Raw genomic sequence first — 22,467 nt, forward strand, 5'->3', positions numbered from 1 at the left:
TATTTTTAAATATAATATATAAACATGTAAGTGAATGAATAAGTGGGTTCAATTACTGTCTGTTTCATGAATAACAAGTTAAGGTAAAAAGAGAAAGAAAAACTTTAAAAGGAGAAGCCATACGTAGCTTTGTCTTCTCACCTAAGATAGAATGTGCTAGAGTGGATTCCACGAGATAGAACAGGTGTGCTAGACAGTGGCATGGGCAAGTATGCTTGCCAAATACTAGATTTTAAAAATAATTAAGCGGGACATTTTGATCCTCTAATATACATTACTACAGTTCAAATATTCAAAATATATACATAAAATCAGGTATCACTTAATAACAGGGATACCTTCTGAGAAATGTGTCATTAGGTGATTTTGTCCTATGTGAACATCAGAGTGCACTTACACAAACCTAGATGATAGAGCCTACTACACAACTAGGCTAGATGGTGTAGCCTATCGCTCCTAGATTACAAACCTGCTCTGCATGTTACTGTACTGAATACTGTAGGCAACTGTAGCACAATGGTAAGCACTTGTGTATCTAAACATATTTAAAAGTAGAGAAAGTACAGTAAAAATAAGATATCATAATCTTATGGGACCACTGTTGCATATACAGCCCATCATTGATGAAAATGTAGTTATGTGCCACGTGACTATATTTTACATTTTTCAGCACTTGTTAAATGTATTTGATTACATTTCTGTTTGGGTTTGTTTGTTTATTTAGTACACATTCACTGTTCTGCAGACTGAGATTCTATAGTTAACCAATTGGGAGAACTACGCCCTGGAATATAGGATCCTTGATTAGTCACTGCTCATAAGAAAATAATTTTTAAAACAACAACAACAAAAACCCTTCAAAATTGACACAATGGTTGTATTCAGAGCTTTTAACCTTTTCTAAGAACAAATCAGTGGATCTATGCAGACACAAAAGAGACTGAGACTTGGCCTCCCGGGAACCACACCCCAGAGGGCGGGGGATCTGGACGTGGCCACACTTCAGGTCGCTCGGGTTTTCTATCCATCAGGCCACCACTGGCAACTCACTTGCTATGATGAATACCGCTTTCTTCCTGCAGCCGCAAGTCAGTGACATTTTGGTCATGAAACCCACATGCACTGGCTCTAAACTGCAGCGCCTCTCTGGGGTCTGGGGGTGGAGGGTGACTCCTCATGCTACAGCAGCTGCAGGAAGCGCTGGGTGACATCACCTCCCCCTAAGCCAAGAAGGTCAGGCCCAGAGCAGCCATCTTTGGACAGAAAACACACAAATAATCCACCTCTTTCCACCCTGGAGAATGAGCTCACAACTGCGGGGGGCCCAGCTCTGTATGCATGCCAGGTGATGTCAGGGTGAGTGTCCTGGCATCCTGACACTCTGCAGGTGCTCCATTCATGGACACCCCACAGTCCACACCAGATGGCAGCGTGGGAGAGGGACATCAGCTCTAGACCTTCCCTCACTTCTAGTTATAAGCCTTTGGGGGACTGACTCGCCCATTTTCTTGGACTGTGTTATATGAATGTTGGGCCAATCATAATGGGATAGATACTGGGGTAGGGTGGGGATGGAGAAGGGCTTCTCTAGAGGTTTCTGTACAAATAAAATTCCTGGCAATAAGCTCTCACTTCTATCATCAACTGCTATTCTCTGGGTCATGGAAAATCCTGCATGGTTGGTCACACAGGGGGATGGAGTGGAAAAGTTGAAAGAGAACTGATTGGCTCTCGGAAAGGTGAACAGAGCTATAATAGAATGGAAGAGAAGCCCACACAACAAGTTGGACAACCTGACACCTAACCTGGGCTTCCCGATTCCGGACTTTGCTTTGTCCAAAGCCAAGTGGCAAAGAGAGTTCAAAATTACCCTGTATTTTGATTCCATGAAAAATGAGATTTTTTGTTGTTGTTCAATTGCTGATACACTTGGCCTTACTATACCCTGCTTTCTCATCGCAAATAGAAAATGGGCATGAATATAAATAGTGTGTTTCTTTGAATCCCTCAAAAGAAAAGTTTCCAGTTTGACACCCACATTTAAATTGCCTATAATTTCCTCATTGGAATCTTTGAAGCCCAAGGCCTTTCTGTGTCAGGAGGTGACTGTTGATCTGCCTGACAGATGACGTGTCGGGGACACTCACATGGTTACCTTAGAAAGATGTACCCTTAAAAGGAAGAAGTCCCATCAAGCATTGACTCCAGCATTTAATCTCATGCCGGAAGCTGACTGAGGTGGCTATTTAAGGAAGGAAAGGAGACAAGGAAGACAGGAGGGAGAGAAAGCAGGACAAATGGAAAGAGGAAATGGAGAGATGGTATGGGGAAAGGGAAAAGAAAGGAAGGGAAGCATGGAGGGAGGAAGAGATGGAAGGAAGGAGGAAAAGGGGGAAGAAAACTTGAGCTAATGAGGAGCCCATTGGATTCTGTAAATAAACCACAGAAACAATGAAGCCTGGTTCTTCTGAAAAGGGTTCCCACTTTCCCCAACTTCATCCTGGTTCAACCAGCCTCAAGACTGAGGCGACTCAGGCAGCTCTCAGCGGCTTCAGCCTGCAGTCCCAGTGGGCTGTGAGTCACGGGCTGCGCTGCAAGCAGGCTGCTCTGAGAGAGCCCTGGAGAGCTGGCCGTGGGTGTTCAGACCATTCCTGCTGCTGGTCAGGAACGTCCCTTCAGGAAGTTCGTTCACTCCAAGGTCGTTCTCTTTAGGATTTAATGAACAAGCCACAAAAATGAAGGGGACCCAAGGTTTGAATCCTGAAGCCCCAAACAATATGCCAGCCAGTTTATTTTTCCTCTTGGAGCTTAGCACATCCTTCAGGAAACTGCAGAAAAGAGTGACCTCGTCGTGAAGGTTCCTGCCTGTAAAAGACACAGTCCTTTCATGGCACACAGATGCCTCTGGCAGGGCAGAGGAAAATGCTTCAACTTCGACAAAAGAGGCATCTCTACCTGCTGTCAACAGCTGGCTCCTGGCAGAACTGGGAAGGTCCAGGGACAAGAATCTGAATCCTACATCCTCAGCCTACTGGGGCCAACAGCACCTTTGCCTCTCAGCACCCATCAATCACAGCCCTCCACCAGCTCATCCTCGATGAGTTGTCCCTAAGCAGTTCAGCCCCATAGCCTTCTCTTGGGATGACTCCAGGCTTTCCCCACACTTCTGTCATTACCAAGCTGAACAAAACAGCTCCTCTCCTGGAATTCATCCAGCTGCCGACTTGCGAGGGTACATGAGCAGCTGTTGTTACAGTGGAGAGAAGAGGGTGTGGGCTTTAGAGTCAGACAGCCAGGGCTCGAATTCCAGTTCTGCAATTACTTGCTGGTGACCTTGGGAAAGTAACTTAACTTCTCTGAGACTCAACTTTCCTATGCTAGAAGTCATGATAATAATAGTAGGGTCGTTATGAGGATTGCATGTGTCATCTCTCTGAGAGCAGAGAAACTGTCTATTTATTAGTGTTTAACCCACATAAAGCATTGAGTAAATATTTATTGAATACATGCAAAATGCTTCACACAGTGTTTAGCACATAGACGACTGCAATGAATGGATAGTATTATCTTCCTTCTCTTTATTTTCTGCCTCTCTCAATGCTTCCCATGGAGGAGCTTATTTTGACCCTTGTGTCAGTCAGGGTCCCAGCAGGAAACAGATGTTGTGTTCCAAATGGGGAGATCTTCATGAAGGAGCCATCTGCAGGGGTGGCTGAGAGAACCAACAGGGAGAGTTAAGCATCCCACAAGTAGCCACAGCAGAAAGGTGCCAACTCTCCTCTCCCTGGAGGGTCAAGCAGGGAGCTGCTACCAGAGCCCTAAGTGAGAGAGCTATAGCTGTGAGGCCAGCTGCAGAGGATCCAAACCCTTCAGGGAACAGCAGAGCAGGGAGGGAAAAGGGGAAATTAACACCCAAGCCTTCCTCTCCTCCCACTCTATGATCTCTTGCTGCTGCCTCCCAATGGCCAAGCCCAATATCCACTGATGAGATCCTTGTAAATCAGCTTCCACAGAGCAGCCCAGAGAAGGGTAGGCTGGATCTAGCAGTGCAAATGGAGAAAATCTAGCACAGCCATTAAATCTCCAAGGATTTATGTGAATAGTCATCTTTCCTCATCTACATAGGTTCTTCTGCAGATTTACACTACAAAAGACAATATCTTCTCAAAAAAAGCTGAGATCAACAGGAGACTTTAGATTCAAAGATGATATGAACCACAATTTCACCTTGTACGTCTTCCTGTTGGGGGAATCTAAACAACTGGAGCACAGCTGTTCCATGGAGCTGGTTCCACAGCTGTATCACACCTTTGCTGCCCTTTCTCATACTACAAATTTTTACATGTAAAATCTAGAAATGGACATATTTCCATGCCTTGAAAACAATAGAAGGTGAATCCAGGCATGAATAACCTATAGGTAATTTTCTATGTTTGCAATATATGGGTATTTTTAAATACATAATAATTAAAATCTACTGACACTTTCCTGTCATCTTTGTATTGCATATTGTGTTTGTAAGAAGAAATTCTAGGCTTGAAGAGCTAAATAAGTCCACTGCTAAAGTGCTGGCATATTGGTGGCAGGGGATAAGCCAGATAGCAATTGGAAGCCAGTTCTGCAGAGGCCCCCTGGTCTTTGAAGGTTGGCATTCACTTTCCCAACACTGCACAGGTTGGGTGGACATCCTGCTAACTGGCATTCAGCCCTACTACCCAACAGCTGCCAAGAGGCCCAACGCCTTCACTGGATGTGGAACTCAGTGCTGGTATCTGAACACTAGCCCTCTAGAGGGTCAGCTTCATCTGTTAAGTGTATGCAAAAATGTATAAAGCAAGACGATAACCATGTTAAAATGAAAGCATACTCACAGTGAGGCATGGTTAGTTCTTCATGGACTCTGCTTCAATCTAGTTACCTGGCCCTGAGAAAATGGCTGTATTTAGAAATGGATGGAAGAAATGAAGGTGTTGATGAGGATAGCCAAGAATTTTGGAGCATTTCTTTTGTTCTAGACACTACACTAACTGACTCACATAGGTTAACTCAACCCCATGGCCCCCTACCCCGCCTCGCAAATAAGCATATGTTGTAGATTTTCCTTTAGAGATGAGGAACACAAAGCCAAGTGATATTAAGTTACTTGCCTAAGATAACAAAGCTGATGAGTGGAAGAGCTGGGATTGAAAATCAAGCAGTCTAACTCCAGATTGTACTTTTAACCACCAGACGATTCTGCCTCTGATTATGTTCCCTAAATATTCAGAGAGAGAGAGAGAAAAAAATTGGAAGAACATGTATTTTTCAACTTAAAAGCAGCTTGCTTCAGAGAGTGAGATAATAAGTGAATGTTTCTCTCTACTTTCTACTTTTTTGCTCTTTATTTTATTTAGGAGTCAATATATTAATTTCATAATGGAAAACATAAACTTCATGTCAAAAACCTATTTGAGGAATCTGGTTCTGTTATGAAAGTATGAGTCCCCTATAGCCTAGACCTCTTGCAGATGACAACTGCAAACCCTACACAGAATAGAAGCCAAGAATAGGCCAACACATATATAGTCAACTGATTTTCATTTAAGGTGCTAAGGCAATTTAATGAGGAAAGAATAGCCTTTCCAACACATGCTACCAAATCAATTACCTATCCATAAAGGAATAAATGAATATTGACCCCTAACTCTCTTCATATACAAAAAGGAATTTGAAATGGATCACAGACTTCCATGCAAAATATAAAATTACAAAACTTCTAAAAAAGATAAAGGAGAAAAGTTTTGTAACCTTGGAGTGGGCAAACTTTTCTTAGGAAGAAAGTAAAAATAATGGAGCATTTATTAGAAATGTTGTTTGCTCAATGCTACTTCATCACAATTAAACACTTTTATTCTGTGAAAAATACCATTAAGAAAACAGACAGGCAAGCCACTGCCTAGGAGAAAATATCCAAAGGACTTGTAACCAAAATGTATAGAGAACCCTTACAACTCAATAATTACTTACAATTATTGAACTAGACAAACAACCTATTTTCTTTAATGGGCGATGAAAGTTGAACAGACACTTCAAAAGAGTATCTATCAAGGGCTAAAATCATATATAAAGATGTTTAACATCATTGGTCATCAGGGAAATGTAAGTGAAAACCACAGTGAAATATCACTCCACATCCATCAGAAAGATTTAAATTAAAAAGACCAACCATACTAAGCGTTGGCAATGATGCAGAGCAAGCAGAACTTGTATACACTACTGGTGGAAATAGCAAATGATACAAATTTTTTGGAAAAGTGTTTTGTAGATTCTAAAGCTAAACATAAACCTACCATACAATGTTTGGAATGACCCAGCAATTCTACACCAAGTAAATAAAAACACATGTTCACATAAAGACTCATACATGAATATTCACAGCCACTTTATCTGTAACAGACAAAAACTGGAAACAACCTAAATGTCCATCAATAGGTGATTAGATAAACAAATTGTGATATATCTATACAATAGTACTCAGAAAACAGAGCAGACTGTTGATACAACAATATGGATGAATCTCAAAATCATTATTTTGTGTAAACAAATACAAAACCCCCTGAAAATAGAATACATATTGTATTATTCCATTTACATATTTATATAAAAATCTAAAAAATGCAAACTAGTATGTAGTGGCAAAGAGTAGATCATTTGTTGCCTGGAAATGAAGGTGGAGGGAAAGATGGATTACAAAGAAGCATGAGGGATCTTTTCAGAAAAATGGAAATCTTTGTTATATTGGTTATAGTGATGGTTTCATGAGCATATACATTCATCATAGCTCATCAAATTGAATTAAATATATGCAGTTTGTTGTATATCTTCAAAGTTGCTTTCAAAAAAACCTTTTCTGCTGAGATCCTTGTCTTAGCAACTAGACAGCAGCTGTAGCCTCAGCACCCCGCACCCTAGTTTGCTCTTCCCCAAAAAGCAACCATTGGGTTTATCATGGCAGTTCTGACTCACCATTCTGGGAAGCCGCCTTTTCCTTCTCTGTCTTGCAACCCTTCACCTTTCATCTGTATAGCCCTTTGATTTTTTTTTTCAAAGCTTTTACTGCACTGTAGTCACATGCATGCATTTAACTTATAAGAATGCAAGTATACACACACGAGGTAATAAAGAAAAGCAATTACAGCCTGTACAAGAAAGAGAAACAATGGGTGGTTCCATCTACCATTTCATTCCAAGAGTTTGAGAAGGGTGATGTGACCGCTTTTCCTCCGGCTGGTTCCATTGCTCCTATGTCTCCTATGTCATTTTAGGAGAATCTCATCATGTGAAGTAAAATTCTACTGGTGTTTGTTTGTTTGGTGAGAGGGTGTCACTCTGTTACCCAGGCTGGAGAGTAGTGGCACAATCATATCTCGCTGTAACCTCGCACTCCTGGGCTCAAGCAATCCTCCCACCTGAGCCTCCCTGGTAGCTAGGACTATAGATGCACACCATCAAACCTGGCTTCTACTGTTTAAAAGACACCTTTTTTGGTACAACAGAGCCTCTAAATGCAAATCAAGTGGTTCATCTGTTGTGGTTGTTGTTCACTTTTTAGATTTTTTTTCTTACCTTTGCTGATAATTGCATTTCATAATCACATCAACTTTAAGTTGTGTTGAATTTGTGTTGCTCTCAGTTATATTAAATCCTACTTTTTGATAAGCCATTTTATTTATTAAGTTTGTTGCATGAATGATGAAACAATGAACACAGGAGCAAGAAAAGAAAGCAACATGGGTGAAACTTAGGTTCAGTTTTATTTCCAGTTTAACCATGCTTCCTTAAATGGAAATGCTAATATATCCCTTTTTAAAATTTTAGGTTCAGGGGCACAGGTGCAGGTTTGCTATATAGGTAATTGTGTTTCAAAAAGGTTTTAGTGTACACATTATTTCATTACCTAGGTAATAAGCATAGTACCCAGTAGCTTTCCCGTGCTTCATTTTATACTCAACTGAAGAAACAATGATCTGTCCAGAAATGGAAAAATGTTGATTGTATTGGACTTATCAGGAAAAAGAATGTTCATCTCCTACATGGACTCTTAACAATTCATGAGGATAATTTTACTATACTTGATTATCATCATAGGTGATGATTTTAGAACCCCCATGTAAGATCAAATTTACTACATCTTTTGGGGTTTTCAGAATAGCCCCATAAGGTGGCCAGAGAAAATATTATCCACACTTGACAGAGGAGGAAACAGGGCCTCAGGGAGATTGTGACTTGCTAGTTACACAGCTAATAAGGGACGTCCCCCTTTCAAGAACTCAGGTCTTCAGACCGCAAGTCTAGTATTCCTTGAACCATATCACCACCTCCACATGTTGCCATTTTGCTTATCAGACAAAGGCATTATTATGGCCTGGATTTGCCCTGAGTCCCATGGAGAATTCTCACAGTGAAGATAACTTATTTTCACAATGGAAGCCAAAACTGCTGCTAACAACTCTTGGCTCTTTCTTCTCTTAACTAAAAAAGGAAAATGTGTTAAACCAAATGTGGCAGTTTTGTCACTCTTACCCCCTAATCATAATCAAAATTTACTTTAATTGACAACCAAGCTGTCAGTTATCCAAGCTTCCAGAAGAACGGACACAGATAAGGCCAAATTATGATATATTCCACAAACTCAGAGGAACCAACATCCTGGAGGTAGTCCCCATTCAGCCCAGAGGCAAGGGAAAGGGTCGAGTACATATCTAAACCACCGTGAGCTAGGCACTCCCCACCCATCTGCATACACTTTGTCATCTTTGCAACTACAGCGTTTAACAAGGGCTGGGAGATTTCAACTAAAACAGACAGAATGAACTTTCTTTTAGGGATCTTAGAACATTTTGCATGGATAGGTGGAGAATTTGAATAAAATGACCTATAGGGATAACTGTCTTTCTAAAGGTCTAAAAACAAACTGTCCCCAGTTCATTAACCAACATATTTATTGCCACTAGAAATCAATTTTCAAAGAGTGGTAAAAATGACAGGGACTGTAGCCACTGCCCAAAACCCGACTGACAGGGTCTCAGCACTAAATCAAGTAAAATTTAATAAGTGTCACTGTCCCAGGTGTGACAGCTAGGATAGAAATCATTCCATGTCTGGCCCAGACAGGAGGCTAAGGGACTAGTTACCCTGGGCAGTTAGGAGGCATACACTTGAGGGAAGAGGAAGTTATGCTTTCTATAGGGACATGTTTCCTATCCTTAATGAGTTTCCCTCCTATAAGAAGACACACAAGTTTAGGATAATAAAATTTACCCATACAACTTTACAAATTTGGCAGCAATCTCCATTACCCTGGCTGAGGCTGAAGGGTTAACCTAAGCTGCCATGTTTGGGGAACCAATGTTTGTGCTCACTCTTTCTCTCACTAAACTCAGTTGCAGCACAGAGGAAGGCTCCAAGAATCAGGGAAGATCAGGGATCCTGAGCTCTCATAGGGCAGTCATAAATGTAATGATTGACTGTTAAGAGGGATGCACAGCACTGATGCTAATGTCCTTTGTTTGGTTGTGTATGCATTTCAGAGTGAGAAGCGAAGCCCAATCACATTATAATCTGGGCAGTTTAGGTTCTTGTTTACCAGCCCTCATCCAATAGGCACCAGCTGGAGGCTTGGTATGTGGATTTTGTTTAGTTGCATTGTTGTCTTTTTATATCAAAGGAATCCTTCTATTACCCCAATTTCCTCCCTTCTGGTCCAGTAGCAAACCAGGACCATAACAGACAGGTTCCTAATGCTCTGCAGATGAAGGGATGTCAGGAAAATAAACAAATTTGCTCTCTTCTGTTGCATTCCTTTCCTTAAGGGAAGAAACTAAAAGAAGATGACTTAGAACTAAACACAGAAGTTTTCCAACAACACCTATCTTGCCAGCTCCTGCCGAGATCACTAGCTTTAAAAGTGCTCTTCGGGCCTGAGTTCAGGATGGCTCTTAAGCAACTCTGTCTCTGTGCAGAGCTGCCATTGCATTTCTTCAGCTGTTTTCCAGTTGCCTGAAAGAAGCACCCACTTGCCTGGGCCAGGAACGAGGAGCACAGAGAAACACAGAGTAGAACTGTTTCTTCCTCCAGAGTGTTTTTTTGAAAAAAAAAAAAAAAAAAAAGCCTTCCCCAGAGCATAGTCTACTTCTCTACTTGATGTCTCACAGAGCATTGGATGCAGAAGTTTGGGGATGGTTCTCTGAATAGGGGTGATTTGCACCAGGTTTGAACCACTGGAAGCCATACCCTTAGAAAGGGTAGATCCAAGAAGGTTTAACACCAAGAACTGCAGACACTGGCAGAAGTCATTCAGGGAAGAGTCATGTAGACAAACATGTTGTTTTCTCCAAAGCATAAAGCGCTCAGTATATAGATGGAGAAGGTGAGGCACAAGTACAGCCCAGTGATTATCCAAGGTGTTCATGATGGTGTCAGTCCTACAGCCAAGACAAGACTATGTGCCTTCTATGCTACCAGAACACATTAACTCTTGGGCATCGTGTCCTGGAAACAAATTGAGTGGGGAAAATATTCTATTCTGGAATACCAGGGTATCTTGGTATTCCAGAGGAAAACTATTCGTGGTCCACTTTCATAATCTGTTTTTAGGGATTTGTCATTTACTAAGGCAGAAATTTTAATCCTTCTCCCTGCTCAGGGGGGGATATCAGAATGAGGCTTCAGATAGAGGGTGAGTCAATCCCACCAATAGCAACCTTATCCCAACACAGCTTTATCAGTCTCCATTTGTCCTCACCTGGAAAATCAACTGGTGAATGTGGCAGTCAGGGCCTCCTGGGTATAGAAGAGCCGCTGGGTCAAATACTTCCATCATGCTTCATTATACCCTAGTTAGGAGTTGACTTCTTCCACCTGTCTGAGTCTGAACTAGATGGACTCGCCACTGAGAGAGGATGACAGTCAGGTAGGGGTCTCTCTGCAGCACCTCCTACCAGCCAACCAGCAGCAGCGTTCCTACCCAGGTGTCCACCTGTCACCACTGGGCAGGGGTGATGAGCACACAGTTGCCTTTTCCATGGCAGCATTGTTCTTTGTCTAACTTTCATCTCTCTGCTATCTCACAATGCTCTTCTAAAATAAGGTATATTTGGCAGCATTATCAAATAAAGGCTGGCAACAAAACTCAAGCATTGTGAATGTGTGTTTCTTCAATTTAATTTAGATCTCTAATGTCTTGAGATTTAAAAAAAGATACTTTAATTTTTTTGTGATTCAAGTTGCATTTGGATTGTGAAGACATTCTTTATAAGTTCGTGCCTGAAGTAAGTTATTTCTGAGTCCCTAAATAGATGCACAAGAGCCCCCAAACACCTGGGAAACGTGGTCTCCCTTGAAAAACTCACTGTAGCATGGCCTGAGTGCTTAGAATTTGTCTCATAAGAAAATTCCCTCATTTGATGAAACGATTTAAATGTGACTGTGGTCTCAATGGTTGGCGGGAAAGGCCACTTACAAATTCTCTTTATGAGAGACATGAGTTTACTATTCTACCTGTGAAGGAACAGCCTCTCTTGTTGGGTTTAAGAATAGTTTTTTAGCAGAATATCTTCTGTTCCAAGTCAAAATCATCTAAATAGGTTCAATATTCAGCTCTACATCTGTTTCTAATGCCTAAATGAAAAAACGTTTTTAGTTCATGGGCCAGTGGGTGTACAGCTTGAATGCTAAGTCAGGAAGTAAGAAACTTGATTATTAGAGAGATGGGTATCCAAATATTTAATATTTTTAATTAATGCTTACACATGTTTGGAAGTAAGAAATGGGCTTGCAGTCTCATTCCAGAGCCAACGCATCTAACCATCCCCCCTCATACACTCATTGCACATTAGGTTTCTCTGTAAAAGTTAGTACCCATCCCTGTTTACTATGTTTTTTTTTTTCTTTTGAGACAGAGTCTTACTCTCTCACCCAGGCTGGAGTGCAATGGGGTGACTTCAGCTCACTGCAACCTCCGCCTCCCAGGTTCAAGCAATTCGCCTGTCTCAGCCTCCTGAGTATCTGGGATTACAGGCACGCACCACCATGCCCGGCTAATTTTTTGTATTTTTAGTAGAGACAGACTTTCACCCTGTTGGCCAGGCTGGTCTCAAACTCCTGAGGTCAGCTGATCCACCCACCTTGGCCTGTTCACTCTTTCTCATCAAAGGAGACTAGCATTTCAGAATCTTTATCAACAATAAGAAATTGTTATGCTCTGATGTTTACAGACCTGTGCTAGACTCTGGGAGGCAGAGGTGAAAAGACACAGCCTTGAGGGTCTTACAGTTTTTGGAACAGCTGTCCAAATACACAACGTACAACGCAGGGCAATCAGAGCCAAGGGCACACAAGAGGCTCAGGCAGAGCTCCTCTGCAGAGGGCCAAGGCTCCTGGACCGCTTCCTGGAGGATGCCTGCATCCTTAAAGAAGGGAGAGGCACGGACACAGGACAGCATTGCAGAGGAGATGCACGGTGGGCTGGTGGTTTGATGGTTTGAACAAAGGCAGTGGTTGGCAAGTACACAGAGGATTGAGGAAATAAGTACCTCAGTTAAGGAGGATGAGAGAATTCATAAAGGACAGACTGGGAGGTGAAACCAAAGAGGCAAGTGAAGGCACAGATGGCCAAGGTCATAAAGCCAGGCTCATGTGCACCAAGTGTCAACCCAGTGCCCCTTTATTAAACTTCCATCTACCTTCTGTCAGTGTTAACTTAGGAAATCCCGATGGAGTGTTTCATTTCTTTCTTATTGTTGTTTTTGGTTTAGGGGTTTGGATTTTTTACTCCCGATAGGCTTTACCTTCAGGTCTACACCATTTGAACTTGATACGGTCAGCAATTAGGAAAAATAGAGAATATTAGAGGATTACATTTATTGATTTGCGTATATTGAACCAGACTTGCATCCCAGGGATGAAGCCCACTTGACATGATTATCTCAATAGATGCAGAAAAAGCCTTTGACAAAATTCAACAACCCTTCATGCTAAAAACTCTCAATAAATTATGTATTGATGGGACGTATTTCAAAATAATAAGAGCTATCTATGACAAACCCACAGCCAATATCATACTGAATGGGCAAAAACTGGAAGCATTCCCTTTGAAAACTGGCACACGACAGGGATGCCCTCTCTCACCACTCCTATTCAACATAGTGTTGGAAGTTCTGGCCAGGGCAATTAGGCAGGAGAAGGAAATAAAGGGTATTCAATTACGAAAAGAGGAAGTCAAATTGTCCCTGTTTGCAGATGACATGATTGTATATCTAGAAAACCCCATTGTCTCAGCCCAAAATCTCCTTAAGCTGATAAGCAACTTCAGCAAAGTCTCAGGATACAAAATCAATGTACAAAAATCACAAGCATTCTTATACACCAACAACAGACAGAGAGCCAAATCATGAGTGACCTCCCATTCACAACTGCTTCAAAGAGAATAAAATACCTAGGAATCCAACTTACAAGGGATGTGAAGGACCTCTTCAAGGAGAACTACAAACTACTGCTCAAGGAAATAAAAGAGGATACAAACAAATGGAAGAACATTCCATGCTCATGGGTAGGAAGAATCAATATCGTGAAAATGGCCATACTGCCCGAGGTAATTTACAGATTCAATGCCATCCCCATCAAGCTACCAATGACTTTCTTCACAGAATTGGAAAAAACTACTTTAAAGTTCATATGGAACCAAAAAAGAGCCCACATCGCCAAGTCAATCCTAAGCCAAAAGAACAAAGCTGGAGGCATCACACTACCTGACTTCAAACTATACTACAAGGCTACAGTAACCAAAACAGCATGGTACTGGTACCAAAACAGATATATACATCAATGGAACAGAACAGAGCCCTCAGAAATAACGCCGCATATCTACAACTATCTGATCTTTGACAAACCTGAGAAAAACAAGCAATGGGGAAAGGATTCCCTATTTAATAAATGGTGCTGGGAAAACTGGCTAGCCATATGTAGAAAGCTGAAACTGGATCCCTTCCTTACAACTTATACAAAAATCAATTCAAGATGGATTAAAGACTTAAACGTTAGACCCAAAACCATAAAAACCCTAGAAGAAAACCTAGGCATTACCATTCAGGACATAGGCATGGGCAAGGACTTCATGTCTAAAACACCAAAAGCAATGGCAACAAAAGACAAAATTGACAAATGGGATCTAATTAAACTAAAGAGCTTCTGCACAGCAAAAGAAACTACCATCAGAGTGAACAGGCAACCTACAAAATGGGAGAAAATTTTCGCAACCTACTCATCTGACAAAGGGCTAATATCCAGAATCGACAATGAACTCAAACAAATTTACAAGAAAAAAACAAACAACCCCATCAAAAAGTGGGCGAAGGACATGAACAGACACTTCTCAAAAGAAGACATTTATGCAGCCAAAAAACACATGAAAAAATGCTCATCATCACTGGCCATCAGAGAAATGCAAATCAAAACCACAATGAGATACCATCTCACACCAGTTAGAATGGCAATCATTAAAAAGTCAGGAAACAACAGGTGCTGGAGAGGATGTGGAGAAATAGGAACACTTTAACACTGTTGGTGGGACTGTAAACTAGTTCAACCATTGTGGAAGTCAGTGTGGCGACTCCTCAGGGATCTAGAACTGGAAATACCATTTGACCCAGCCATCCCATTACTGGGTATATACCCAAATGACTATAAATCATGCTGCTATAAAGACACATGCACATGTATGTTTATTGCGGCATTATTCACAATAGCAAAGACTTGGAACCAACCCAAATGTCCAACAATGATAGACTGGATTAAGAAAATGTGGCACATATACACCATGGAATACTATGCAGCCATAAAAAATGATGAGTTCATGTCCTTCGTAGGGACATGGATGAAATTGGAAATCATCATTCTCAGTAAACTATCGCAAGAACAAAAAACCAAACACCGCATATTCTCACTCATAGGTGGGAACTGAACAATAAGATCACATGGACACAGGAAGGGGAATATCACACTCTGGGGACTGTTGTGGGGTGGTGGGAGGGGGGAGGGATAGCATCGGGAGATATACCTAATGCTAGATAACGAGTTAGTGGGTGCAGCACACCAGCATGGCACATGTATACATATGTAACTAAACTGCACAATGTGCACATGTACCCTAAAACTTAAAAGTATAATTAAAAAAAAAAAGAATATTAGAGGAATCCCATGGCCTTAATCACGTGATAAAGCAGCAACTTAACTCCCAAACAGGTAAATTAAAGAATAGTAATTGAATACTTTTCTTGACCACCTGAAACACAGATCCCATTCTGGCTCTATTTTAAGTTGGTATTTTTAATGATTCAATTTTTAACCAATCGCTTCATTCTGATTCCGAGAGAAATACCTAATGGACAAGGTAGCTGCCTTTTCAGTGCAAAAAATAACTTGCTTCTATTCCCAGAGCACTCGCTAATTCACAAAACGCCTCACTGTGTGTCCCATTTGATCAGCAGTACCATCTCCCAGGGCAGCTAGGGACAGAATATTATCATCAGCCCCATTTCACAGGTGAGATAGTTGAGCTTCAGATAGATCGTGTGACTTGCCCTAGATCACCTGGCTTGGGTCAGTCTTGGGTCCCAACCCTCCATACCTATGAGGACTGTGTAAGGTCTTCATCAAGATCCCACTTTTTCTCTACCTAGCTGATTGCTTAAGATTTTTTCTCGAATTTCTCTAAACTTTAAGGAGCTTTTTGATCTTCTGCAAACCACGTTTTAGACCATACCTACCCCAAGGAAGAAAACTTTACACCTTATTCTCTGTGGCTATCAACTGATCAGAGGCAATGTTACTACTCAAAGCACTGTTTTTTAATCTTCCACAACACCCCTAGAATATAGGAATTGATGTCCAGATTAGACAGGTGTGAAATGAGGTGTTGTGTTGGTCAGGGTTCTCTGAAGGGACAGAACTAGTAGGAGATAGATATATATATAGTAGTTTATTAAATATTAACTCACATGATCACAAGTCCCACAATAGGCCATCTGCAAGCTGAGTAGGAAAGAGCCAGTTCAAGTCCCAAAACTGAAGAACTTGGAGTCAGATGTTCGAGGGCAGGAAGCACCCAGCATGGGAGAAAGATGTAGGCTGGAAGGCTAGGCCAGTCTAGCTTTTTCATGTTTCTCTACCTGCTTTATATTCTAGCCAGGTGTGCTGGCTGCTGACTAGATGGTGCCCACCCAGATTAAGGGTGGGTCTGCCTTCCCCAGCCGACTGACTCAAATGTTAATTTCCTTTGGCAACACCCTCACAGACACACCCGGGATCAATATTTTGCATCCTTCATTCCAATCAAGTTGACACGCAAGCTTAACCATCACAGGTGTAGAGCAATAAGGTGATTTGATTTGACCAAGCTCACTTAGCTCATACTTGAAAGAGTAGGAATCCCAAAGCCCTCAACCACACTAGCAGAAAAATGCCCAAACAGAGGTGGGAAGGTGTAAAGCAGTGATTCTCAGGCAGGATTTCTGGCTCCCCTGCATCAGAATCACAGAGGACTCCTGTTAAACTTCAGATTCCTTTTCCAGAATGTCTCAAGATGAAACACACACCAGGGAATCTCCATTTTTTCAGGTCCTCAGAAGATTTTTACCAACACCAAAAGCTAGGAAATACTGGTAGGAGACATGGCCAAGAGAATGGTGTATAGCTCAACCCCAGAAATACAGGGCAAATATGAGGAAGGAGGGGAGGATGGAGGGATGGAGGGCCAGGTGGTGGAGGACCCTGAATGAGGTTGGATTAGAGAGAACAGGAAAGGGACTAGAGGAAGGGACTTGAGGTGTCCCAGGAGCAGGAGTATTTTCATGTATTAGGAAAGGACTAGCTTTGGTAGAGGAAAAAGATCACTAAACTAAGAAGATACTGGCCTTTCAATCAACAAACCAAGCTGCCTCATCTTATTTCTCCTGTAAAGGAAGGAGGCCTGACTTGGGAGGCAGATCTGGATCTGTTTCCAACTCTGCCTCTAACCCCTCTGTGACTCTGAGCTAATCACTTGACATCTTGGAACCTCAGCTGAAGTTCAGCATCAGTAAAATCTCGCCCTGGCTGGGGAAGGTTGGGTGGGGGAGCAGAATGATTGCTAATATGTCATCCAACACCAAATTTTCGGGAGTTTCCACCCTCTCCTTCATTAAGCTCATCTCTATCCAATGTCTTTAGTGTTGCGTTCTCCAGCAAGACTCGGCAGGAAGATTTAGAAGGCTCTAAAGCCACAGAAGTGTTGTGCAGAGAAGCAGCTTAAGCCCAGGTCACAGTGGAAGGAGGCAGCCTCCAGCAGAATGATGGTCAGGTGTGGCTGTACGGTTGTGACCTCTGAGGGCACCCAGCATCTGGCAGCCATCCTCAGGGAGAGATTTCCTAAGTCTTTATTGGTTTTGTTGTTTGTTTGTTTGTTTGTTTGTTTGTTTGTTTAAGACAGGGTTACTCTCTGTCAACCAGGCTGGGTTACAGTAGCATGATCATAGCTCACTGCAGCCTCAAACTCTTGGGCTCAAAAAATCCTCCCAATTCAGCCTCCCAAGCAGCTGAGATTATAGGTGTGCATCACCACACCTGGCTAATGTTTAAATTTTCTGTAGAGATGAGATTTTCCTACATTTCCCAGGCTGGTCTCAAACTCCTGGCCTCAAGAAATCCACCCACCTTGGCCTCCCAAAGTGCTGAGATTACAGGTGTGAGCCACCACATCCATCTGCCAAAGTCCATATTTGAAAGCTGCCCAGCCCAGGATTTCTGTTAAGAGACACGTTCTGAGCTCCAGGAATGGCGAATGTGCTCTTTGGACAGAAACTTTGGACTTAACAGTGGCCAACTGGAAGCATTCCGACTTTGAGTAAAATTTAAGCACCTGTTATAAAAGTCTGGTGCATGTCACACTGTCACAATATCCTTTCTGTGGGTTATGGAAAGCTGGAGAAGCATTGTTTCAGACATGGGGGCAAACAGAGGACTGGGACCTGTGGTTCTGCCATCCCGGTTTGGAAATGGGAGAGGTCTGATCTGATCTGATCAAGGCAGAATCTGGATTAAGTAGAAATATATTCAGAGCTAAGACAACAATCTTGGATATACATACTCCATACTTGGAACTACATTCTCCATGAGATGGAAGAGGAATGTTCCTTCCAGCCCTCCTAAATTATTTAACATATATGAAAGATATTAATCTCTAGCCACTCACACCCCTCAAAACTTCTAGGGGGAGGTTTTATTATTCAGTATTGAGAACACCCAGTTCTGCTAGGAGAGCTGAATATTAGATTTGAAAGATGAATTTACTCAGGGTTTAAAAAAATAGCAGAAACAATTCCTCCTACACAGTTGACCCTCAAACAACATGGGCTTGAACCGTGCAGGTCCACTTACACGTGGATGTTTTTTCAATGAAAGTTACACCAAGTCTATCTGCCCCTCCTGCCTCCCCTTCCACTTCCTCTACCTCGTCCTCCTCTGCCACCCCTGAGACAGCAGATCAACTCCCCCTCTTTCTCCTGCTCCTCATTCTACTCACTGTGAAGACAAGATGAAGACCTAATGAATAGTAAACATATTTTCGCTTCTTTATAATTTTCCTGATAATATTTTCTTTTTTCTAGCTTACTTTATTGTAACAATACAGTATGTATTACATATAACGTACAAAATACGTGCTAATCAGCTATTTATAGTAGGATATTAGTAGTTAAGTTTTGGGTGAGTCAAAAGTTATACTCAGATTTTTTACTGAGCTGGAGGTCAGCACCCCTAATGAACTATGTTGGAGGGTCAAGGGTCAACTGTATTAGTTCACTAGAGCTGTCATAATAAAGTACCATAATGTGGGTAGTTTAAACAACAGAAATTAGTTTTCTCAGTTCAGGAAACTAAAAGTCCAAAATCAAGGCGTCCAGAGAGTTGATTTTTTCTGAGGACTGTGAGGAAAGGATCCATTCTAGACCATTCTCCTTGGCTTGCAGGTGGCTGTCTTCTCCCTGCATCTTCATGTCATCTTTCTTTTTTTTTTTTTTTTTTGAGACAGAGTCTTGCTCTGTTGCCCAGGCTGGAGTGCAATGGCAAGATCTCGGCTCACTGCAAACTCCACCTCCCAGGTTCAAGTGATTCTCCTGCCTCATCCTCCCGAGTAGCTGGGATTCCAGGTGCGCGCCACCATGTCCAGCTAGTGTTTATATTTTTAGTAGAGATGGGGTTTCACTATGTTGGCCAGGCTGGCCTCAAACTCCTGAGTCATCTTTCTTCTATGTGTGTCTCTGCATCTGAAATTTCTCCCTTTTATCCGTTTCTATAAGGACACCAGTCACAGTGAACTATAACCCATTCCAAGAATTTCATTTCAATTTGGTTGCCACTGTGAATACCCTACCTCCAAATAGGGTCACATTCTGAGGTACCAGAGGTTAGAACTCCAACATATCTTTTTTGAGGAGAATACAATTAAACCTGTAACACCTCCCTTTCCACAAAATCTAGTTCCATGGTTCTAAAGGAGGGAAAGAGCATCAGAATTAATGCCTTCTCATGAATAAGGCACACTGGGGGCACTAGGAGAAGGGATTAAGTCAGAGAGAGACATGCTCTAGAAATCCAGCCAAGAAGAAGGTCCTGTGTAACCTTTACATTTTCTTTGCACATCCAATTAGAAATGAGAAAATGGGAAGACTCTGAGTTCCTCAGCAAATGACTAGATTGTGAGTCCATTGACTGGGTAATTTATAAAGAATGAAATTTATTTCTCACACTTTCAGAGGCTAGGAAGTCCAAGATCAAGGCGCTAGTAGGTCTGGGGTCTGGTAAGAGCCCAGTCTCTGCTTCCAAGGTGGGGCCTTGAATGTTGCAACCTCCAGAGAGGATGACCTCTTTCCTCACATGGCAGAATGGCAGAAGAGAGCAAACCCACTTTTCTGAGCCCTTTTTATACAATCGTTAATCCATTCATGAGGATGGAGCCCTCATGACCTAAACACTTCACATTAGGTGCCATCTCTCAACACTCTTGCATTGGAGATGAGGTTTTAACCTGTGAATCTTGGAGGGAACACAAACATTCACACTGTATCATAGATTAATAGACTTGTCCATAGATGGCCCTCAAATGCTAGAAGGGCTCTGCACAGGAACCCAGGGACAAGACCCATCTATGGTCTGGCTACAGAGAGCAGAAAGAACACAGGGGTCAATACAAGCCTGCATGCATGCATCTGGGGCCCCTCCCCACCCAAATAAGGCCCTACAACCACTTTTTGGAGAGGAGAAAAAACAGAGATAGGAGCCTGAAATGTTGAGAATTTACCCCAAGGAGATGTTTCTACAAAGGTGACTATTTTAAACTGAAAGACACTTTCAAACCAAAAGAGTGAGTCTGAGATGCTTTAATTGGCAACTTGAAAAACTAGAAACATGTTTTCTTTTCTACCCATCTGGGGGAGGGTACTGGAGCAAGATTAGCTCCATTATGGAAAATAAAATTTACATTTTCTTTGCACATCCAATTAGTAATATAAAATTGTCAGCCCTTATTCCTACCACACAGGGAAATGGAGTTACAGAGACCAAGTGAGAGGACATTTTGGGGAGCATTTAAAAATCTAAACCCTGAACAGAGGTAGATGTGAAACCAAGAATGACGTGAACACTAAGAATGAGAACATCTGCATAGATGTTAGACTGGTTTTCAACGTAGCTAAGTAGATACCTTTACTCCGAGCCAAACCTACCTTACGTAAAGTCTCAACTGTGTGGCCATGACCATACTGGCCATTTTCCCCACCAGGGAAAATGTCAGGGTTCTCTAGAGGGACAGAACTAATAGGATAGATGTATATATAAAGTGGAGTTTATTAATGAGTATTGACTCACATGATCACAAGGTGAAGTCCCACAACAGGCCATCTGCAAGCTAAGAAGCAAGGAAGCCAGTCCGAGTCCCAAAACCTCAAAAGTAGGGAAGCCAACAGTGCAGTCTTCAGTTTGTGGCCAAAGGCCCAAGAGTCCCTGGCAAACCACTGGTGTAAATCCAAGAGTCCAAAAGCTGAAGAACTTGGAGTCCAATATTTGAGGGCAGGAAGCATCCAGCATGGGAGAAAGTTGAAGGCCAGAAGACTCAGTAAGTCTACTCTTCCATTTTCTCCTGCCTGCCTTATTCTAGCTGTGCTGGCAACTAATTAGATGGTACTCACCCAGATTGAAGGTGAGTCTACCTCTCCCAGTCCACTGACTCAAATATTAATCTCCTTTGGCAACACCCTCACAGACACACTTAAGAACAATACTTTGCATCCTTCAATCCAATCAAGTTGACACTCAATATTAACCATCACATCATCACTTTCCCAAGTGCTTTCCTGTGCAACCCCAAGTCCATCTTGCTCTTCCTCCTGAACTCTCCTCCTTCCTCCCAACCTGCCTCTGGATTTTAACCATTCTCCAATGTCTTAGTTCATTTTGTGTTGCTATAAAGGAATACCTTAGGCTGGATAAATTATAAAGAAAAAAGGTGCATTTGGCTCAAGATTTAGATGACTGAAAACTTCAAGCTTGGATGTCTGCATCTGGCGAGAGCCTCAGGCTGCTTCCACTTGTGGTGGAGGGTGAAGGGGAGCTAGCATGTGCAGGAGTCACATGGCTAGAGAGGAGGAAAGAAGGAGGGAGGAGGTGCCAGGCTCATGGAAACTAATGGTGAGAATTTACTCACCTCCAGGGAAGACGCCAATCTATTCATCTGCCGCCATAATCCAAATACTTCCCATTACCCCACCTCCGACATTGAGGATCAAATTTCAACATGAGGCTTGATGGGGACAAACAATCAAACCATAGCACCCCTTGATCTGTGCACTCCCTCTTTTAGAACACAAGCCTAATGCATGCAAAACAACCACATATCAAAAGCATTCTCCAAATGACTCTCTTTCATTGTGAAAGGGAGCTTGCTGTTAGCACAAGAGCGAAGCAAGCAACAGCTTTCGGGAAGTGATAACATCAGGATCTGATAGTGGAGCCCATGCCAAATCTCAGCAGAGAGCCTCAGGGCCTGCAAGGACTGTGCATGAGACTTGGCACTGGTATCCTCAAGCCACAGAAGAACCTTTTCTGGAAAAGCAAATGAAAGCCAGAGGGCAAGGGAGCCAGAACAGCAGTGAGGCACTGAGGACCCTGAGCTCAGCCCACAAGAGCACTCCCCTCCAAGTCAGCACAACAAGTAAGCACAGGCTTTCTACCTCCTTCAGGCCAGATGTTTCTCTCCCCGTTCTAGCTGAGGGCTGAAATATCCCTTAACTAGTTCTGAGAGTGTGTTGTTGGTTACAGCTTCTCTCTATATTGCTACAGCCCCTGCCTCTCACATCCACCTGCTCCAGGGCACACAGCCCTTTCCCTGCAGGCTGAGGT

General features: G+C 42.3%; 1 long non-coding RNA gene across 1 annotated transcript, besides 1 other annotated feature; it reads right to left on the reverse strand.

Moving 5' to 3' along the window:
- Window positions 1-3,478: 3,478 nt before the first annotated feature.
- On the reverse strand, window positions 3,479-11,941 carry LOC105370784 (uncharacterized). Its single transcript, XR_001751505.1, has 3 exons — window positions 10,784-11,941; window positions 4,872-5,254; window positions 3,479-3,712 (listed from the first exon to the last, which is right to left on the reverse strand). It is a non-coding gene; the product is annotated as an uncharacterized LOC105370784 (long non-coding RNA).
- Window positions 21,659-22,263: an enhancer, noted in NCBI's record as "OCT4-NANOG hESC enhancer chr15:39822787-39823391 (GRCh37/hg19 assembly coordinates)". NCBI's record gives its function as "activates a minimal SCP1, AML or CMV promoter by ChIP-STARR-seq in primed H9 embryonic stem cells {active_cell/tissue: H9 hESC(primed)}" and the evidence as "EXISTENCE:reporter gene assay evidence [ECO:0000049][PMID:30033119]".

This window comes from Homo sapiens, chromosome 15, assembly GCF_000001405.40.
Source record: "Homo sapiens chromosome 15, GRCh38.p14 Primary Assembly".
NCBI lineage: Eukaryota > Metazoa > Chordata > Mammalia > Primates > Hominidae > Homo > Homo sapiens.